The sequence below is a fragment of the Homo sapiens genome, chromosome 12 (assembly GCF_000001405.40).
Source record: "Homo sapiens chromosome 12, GRCh38.p14 Primary Assembly".
NCBI classification, from domain to species: Eukaryota; Metazoa; Chordata; class Mammalia; order Primates; family Hominidae; genus Homo; species Homo sapiens.
Window position 1 is genome coordinate 7,077,077 of NC_000012.12, and position 6,574 is coordinate 7,083,650.

The 6,574-nt window shown below is 44.6% G+C and overlaps 1 protein-coding gene across 2 annotated transcripts in view, besides 1 other annotated feature; it reads right to left on the reverse strand.

Annotated features, from left to right (window-relative positions):
• The window catches only part of C1R (complement C1r), a 12,227-nt gene continuing 8,795 nt past the window's right edge, over positions 3,143-6,574 (reverse strand). For both annotated transcript variants that reach the window (NM_001733.7, NM_001354346.2), the window contains exons 10-11: positions 4,956-5,030; positions 3,143-4,225 (exon numbers count right to left, since the gene is read on the reverse strand). In NM_001733.7, the coding sequence (NP_001724.4) occupies positions 3,456-4,225; positions 4,956-5,030 (845 nt within the window). In that variant the 3' untranslated portion in view covers positions 3,143-3,455. The remainder of the gene's footprint in view (positions 4,226-4,955; positions 5,031-6,574) is intronic.
• Positions 4,129-4,628: an enhancer, noted in NCBI's record as "H3K4me1 hESC enhancer chr12:7188509-7189008 (GRCh37/hg19 assembly coordinates)". NCBI's record gives its function as "activates a minimal SCP1, AML or CMV promoter by ChIP-STARR-seq in primed H9 embryonic stem cells {active_cell/tissue: H9 hESC(primed)}" and the evidence as "EXISTENCE:reporter gene assay evidence [ECO:0000049][PMID:30033119]".

The following is a 6,574-nucleotide window of genomic DNA, read 5'->3' on the forward strand; positions in this document are numbered from 1 at the left end:
CTTCTTCTTGGCCCTAAACTAGTAGCCATCTGAAAATCAACATGTTCCAGACAGAACCTATCAGACCTGCTCGTCTCGTACTCATCCCCATCAAGCTGACACCATTTTCTCACCCCTCCCCTTCCAGTGTCTACTCCGTCAGGAAACCCTTTGGTTCTTCTTTAAGTTTTATCCATAATCTGACCACTTCTCACCACTTCCACTGCACCCCTGCTCTGAGCTACCATCACTTCTTGCCTGCATTACTGTAATTGCCACCGAATTGGTCCTTTTTATGCCCTTTTTCAGCTGTAGTATGTCTTCAATTCAGCAGCCAGCATGAGCCTTTCAATGTGTGCACACGGAGCACTCTGCCCAGAACATGGCGTGGCTGCCTGCGCATTCTCTGATGGATCAGGCAGCTGCTCACTTCAGGGCCCTTGGCTTCTTCCTGGAATATTCTTTCCCTAGGTCTCTGAATGTCTAACTTCCTCCGATCTTTGATACATGTCAACTTTTTCAATGAGGCTACTCCTTTACAATTTTTAAATTCTTATTTTCTATATTTTTTTAAATACAGAGTCTTGCTCTGTTGCCCAGGCTGGAGTGCAGTGGTGAGAACATTGCTCACTACAGCCTCGAATTCCTGCGCTCAAGTGTGCCTCCTGTTTCAGCCTCCTGAGTAGCTGGGACCACAGGCACACATCATCATGTCCAGCTAATTTTTAATTTTTTATAATGATGGAATCTCACTATGTTGCCCGGGTTAGTCTTCTTTCACGGTTTTTGTTTTTTTTTTTTTTTAAACATCTGATGTCACCAGTTGGTTCTGACCAGGTTGGTCTCGAACTCCTGGGCTCAGATGATTCTCCAGCCTCGACCTCCTAAAGTGCTAGGATTATAGGCATGAGCCACTGCTTCCAGCCTAATTTTTTTTTTTATTTAAAGAGCACCATCTATTTTTTGAATAGGTAAAACACCTACATGGTTAAAACTTTGAAAGATCAAAACAGCATACAGTGATAACTTTTCCTTCCACTCCTATGTCCCCCCAGAGACCACCAATATTTCTTGTATATCTTTCTAGTGATCTTTTATACACATGTAAGTGATATATGCCTACTCCTGTTATGTATACAAATAGTAGCATTTTATTATTTTATTTCATTTATTTTTGAGACAGAGCCTTGCTGTGTCGCTCAGGCTGGAGTACAGTGGTGTGATCATAGTTCATTGCAGCTTCGACCTCCCAGGCTCAAGCCATCCTCCCACCTCAGTCTCCCAAGTAGCTGGTACTACAGGCATGTGCCACCACCTGGCTACAAATGGAAACGGTAGCGTTTTATACATAATATTTTATACATTCTGCATTTTACTTGTTTTCACTTACCATGCTGTCTGTAGTAAGGATTGAATGGTTACATTGCATTTCATCATTTGGATATTCCATAATTTACCTGAAACTTTGGTACCAGATACCTTTCAGAATGCAGGATTCCAATATTTTGTTATTATAAACAATGCTGCAATGACTAACCTACATGTGCGGTTTATTTCATATGTGAGAAAATGTGGGCTGAATTCCTAGAAGTTGAATTGGTGAGTGAAAAGGCATATGTATTTGTAATTTTGGTTACCTGTTACCAAATTGCTCTCTGTAGGGATACATTCCGAAAAGCAATGTGTGAGAGTGTCTTTTTCTTTACATTTTCAACAACATGGTATATTATTTTTGCCAATCTTACAGGTAAAAAGATGGCATTTTATTTAAATATTTTCCTTATTATGAGTGAAATTAAGCCCCAAAGCCTCAAAGCAATTTATATTTTCTTTTCTGTGAACCATCTATTCACAGATCATTGGTTTTGCCTGTACTTTCCTATTCCAGTGCACTTTGAGAATAAGACACATATGAGTTTGGGGTGGGGGAATGGGAATTAGAAGGTCAGAGGAGTCATCTGAGTTTCCTGGGAACTCCTCCGATTATTAAAATAAGAAGAGGGCTGGGCACGGTGGCTCATGCCTGTAATCCCAGCACTTTGGGAGACCGAGGTGGGCGAATCACTTGAAGTCAGGAGTTCGAGACCAGCCTTGCCAACATGGTGAAATGCCATCTCTACCAAAGGTACAAAAATTAGCTGGGCATAGTGGCAGGCGCCTGTAATCCCAGCTACTCGGGAGGCTGAGGCAGGAGAATCTCTTGAACCTGGGAGGTGGAGGCTGCAGTCAGCTGAGATTGTGCCACTGCATCCAGCCTGGGTGATAGAATGAGACTCTGTCTCAAAAAAAAAAAAAAAAAAAAAGTTTAAAAAAAGTTAAAAAAAAACAACTCATCACTTGGGAATGTTTTAACTCTGCTGGTCTTCTGAAGTTCAGGCCTGTGTGTGCTGGGTCATGTAAAGTTGTTTAAACAAGTCTGGAACAGTCAATTGTGCAATAACACCATGATACTGTTCTATTACAAATACTTATAATGCTTAATCCAAGTTCTGTGTCCTTTTCTGATTTTTAGAGATCTTAAAGAATACAAGTGATTTAACAATATTGTTAGTGATTCAGCTTGGAAACAAAAATTTCATAGCACTCCTCTCCTAAGGAATATTTAGAGACTGGAAGATGAGCTGTTAAAAAAGCTGTTATAGGCTGGGTGCAGTGGCTCTTGCCTGTAATCCCAGCACTTTGGAGGCCGAGGCAGGCGGATCACTTGAGGTCAGGAGTTCGAGACTAGCCTGGCCAACATGGCAAAACTCCGTCTTTACTGAAAATACAAAAAATTTAGCTGGGCAGTGGTGACAGATGCCTGTAATTCCAGCTACTCAGGTGGCTGAGGCACAAGAATCAGTTGAACCCTGAGGCAGAGGTTGCAGATAGCCAAGACTGCACTACTACACTCCAGTGTGAGTCACAGAGTGAGAGTCTGTCTTGAAAAAAAAAAAAAAAGCTGTTATATTTACAACTATGCATGTGGGAAAATCAGCATTTTCTTTATATTGTACAATCAAAACAAAACACAGATATTTATTGTTATCCATAACCCTAATTGTAAATGTGTGCATAAACTTAACTGTTCTTGTTGCCTTCCTGAGTAAATATTTTAAATATGACCTTCCTTACAAAATATTTTTATATAAATTAAATACAACTTTTGACTCATTTTGCACACTGGCATTTCTCATAAAACTTTATTTGGAAAAAGTTATATTCAATGACCCAATGGTATCAAAGTGGAAGAGGAAAGTGACAACTAGAGATTGATAACTATATCCTCTGCAATCCTCAGAAGAAAGAAAGGGGCCCTTTGGGTTGTTTCAGGTAAAGTACATCAATGGGACTACAGGAAAGAGAATTTCACACACGGTCTTTCTGCATCAGTAATTTTAATAGAGACTCTTAGTGGTTATCAACAACTGGTCAGTTGTTTTTTGTTTTTTTTTTTCCACACTGCTCTCTGGATTCGAACCTAGTGAATTCTGGGCTCAGTCCTCCTCCTCCATCTCTTTCTTGATCCAGTCCACGTAGTTGAGCACTTTGGTGTAGAAGCCATAGCCCCTGCTGCACCCGATGCCCCAGGACACGATGCCCGTGGCCACCCAGCGATCAGTGTTCGGGTCCCTTACTGCAAAAACGCCCCCACTATCCCCCTGGCAGGCGTCCTGCTTTAGAGATGGGTGTCCAGCACAGAACATGTTTTGAGAGAACACATCCATCCTATTCTTTCCCCGGAGCCAGTTCTCACAGGCCTGTGGATTAGCTACGGGCAGACGGACAAACCTGAGGTCATGAGCAATCTTCTCCTCCATGACCCCGAAGCCACTGACATAGCCCATCAAGCCCAGGTCGTAGAAGGTATCGTTGTCAGGGAGGCAGATGGGGAGGAGGTTGGGACCCAGGGTGACACTATTTTCCAGCTCCAGCAGGGCGATGTCCCCCTCAAAATTGTAGGACTCATCCTGACGGTAGTCCGGGTGGACGCTGACCCTGCGGATGGGGTGATTTCCTAGCTTCATGAGCTCTTCCACATTTGTGTGGCCCAGGAACACATCCAAAGAGGCGTTGCTTTGCGCTTCGTGTTCCTTGGGATACAGGGTGTGGGCAGCTGTGAGGATCCAGCGGTCGCCCAGCAGGGCCCCGCCCCCGCGCCCGTGGATGTTGGTGAACACCTGCCAGGGGAAGTTGCCCATCTTGGCTTTTTGCCCTCCGATGATGCGCTGCCTCTGTTCCACGGGGTTCACGGGCTTCCCACACACTGAGGGAGAGACAGGGAAGACAAGGGCAAGTCAGTTCCAGGTCCCACATCTCTTCCTTCTGCAGCCAGCCAGCTCCCTGTTTGCCCTCTCTTTTTGGCTTCTGTCTCTTTTCTCTTTCTCCTCCCATCCCCACACCTCCGTCATTGGCCTATTGACAGGCTCTTCTTGTTCTTGTTTTTTTTTTTTTTTTAAATTATTATTTTTATTTTTTGAGACTCCTTGCTCTGTTGCCTAGGCTGGCATGCAGTGGCGCGATTTCAGCTCACTGCAACCTCCGCCTCCTGGGTTCAAGCAATTCTTGTGCCTCAGCCACTCAAGTAGCTGGGACTACAGGCATGTGCCACCATGCTTGGCTAATTTTTCTCTTTTTAGCAGAGGCTGGGTTTCGCCATGTTGGCCAGGCTGGTCTCGAACTCCTGACCTCAGGTGATCCGCTTGCCTTGACCTCCCAAAGTGCTGGGATTACAGGTGTGAGCCACCACGTCTTGCCCCTTGTTCTTGTTTATTTCTTCCTAGGGGGTCTCCCATTGTTTTTATTCCCTGATTTCCCATCTGCTTAGTGAAAATGGCAGCATTTCGGGACTGAATTCAGCACTCTGTCCCTCTCTCCCTTTCTCCTGGGATGTTCCCCTCTTCTCTCCTCTCTCTCCTTTTTCTGGGCCACACTGCTTTTGAGGCCCTGCAGGCTGCTAAAGACCCTGATGATGGCCCCAGAGGGTTTCCACTCACCTGGCAAGCACCGAGGAATCTTCTCTCCCTTCTGTTCATTCTTCCAAATGCCCTGTGCTGTGCAGGTGTACACCCCTGAGGGCAGAGGAGGCAAGAATCAAGTTGGGGGGTGATGGGTAAGAAAACTAGGTTGCAGAGGCCAGCAAGTACTGAGTGTGCTTGATGGGGAGAGGGGCAGGGAGGAGCCAACATGGCAAGGGCCAAAGGTCAAAGGCTCAACTCTAGAAGGAAAGAATGTCAAGTGTTCAGAGGCTCTAGACCTATATTTTGTTTTAATGCCAAGTAAAAAAATCAGAATGCTTAACTATTTTTTTTTTTGGGACGGAGTCTCACTCTGTTGCCCAGGCTGGAGTGCAGTGGCGCAATCTCGGCTTACTGCAAGCTCCGTCTCCCAGGTTCATGCCATTCTCCTGCCTCAGCCTCCCAAGTAGCTGGGACTACAGGTGCCCGCCACCATGCCCGGCTAATTTTTTGTATTTTTAGTAGAGACAGGGTTTCACCGTGTTAGCCAGGATGGTCTCGATCTCCTGACCTCGTGATCCACCTGCCTCGGTCTCCCAAAGTGCTGGGATTACAGGTGTGAGCCACCACGCCTGGCCAGAATGCTTAACTATTAACATATGTTTGCTGTGATCCCTGCTTGTGAAAGTAGACATAAAAACCAGAAGGAATATATCAAAATCTTATCAGTGATTGCATCTTGGTCGTGGAATCATAGACGATAATTGTAGCTACATCTTCTGATTGCTGAAAATGTGCCATGCTTGTTGCTAAGCACTTTATCTGCACGATCTCATTTAAACACTATAGTGACACTTGCAGGTGTGTGTTATTATCCTCATTTTGTGGATGAGGAAACTGAGTTTAAATAATTTGCACAGGGTCACATAACTTCTAAGTGCCAGAACCAAGGTGCAAGAGGTTTTCTGACTCCAAAGCCCAGCTCTTAATGAATACCATTTATAATCCAGATTTTTTCCCTTTTTTCTGTGTTTCAAACCTATAATGCATGTGATTTCTAATATTTAAAAAAAGTTAGAAAAATACCCACTAATGAGTGAGAGTCGTTTAGTAAAACTAAGTGCAAAAATCACAACTAGGTTGAGGGGGAGAATGGAGAGGGGAGTTTCACTGAGTTAGCTGTAGTGGTCATGATGGTGGTGAAGACTGTGGTGTTGGTGTTGGTGGTGATGGTGTTGTTAATGGTGGTGTTGTTAATGGTGGTAGTGGTGATGGTAGTATTTGCTGTGATGGTGTTGGTAGTGATGATGGTGTTGGTAATGGTGATGGTGGTAATGGTGTTGGTGGTGATGGTGGTGTTGGTGTTGGTAATGATGGTGGTGACAGTGGTGTTGGTAATGGTGTTAGTAATAGTGGTGGTGATAATGGTAGTGATGATGGTGGTGTTTGTAATGGTGATAGTGATGATGGTGATGGAGGTGATGGTGGTGTTGGTGTTGGCAATGGTGGTGGTGGTGATATTGGTGTTGGTAATGGTGGTGGTGATCATGGTAGTGGCGACAGTGGTGTTGGTAATGGTGATAGTGGTGATGGTGTTACTGTTGGTGGTGATGATGACGATGATAGTGGTCATAGTGGGGATGATGGTGTTGGTGGTG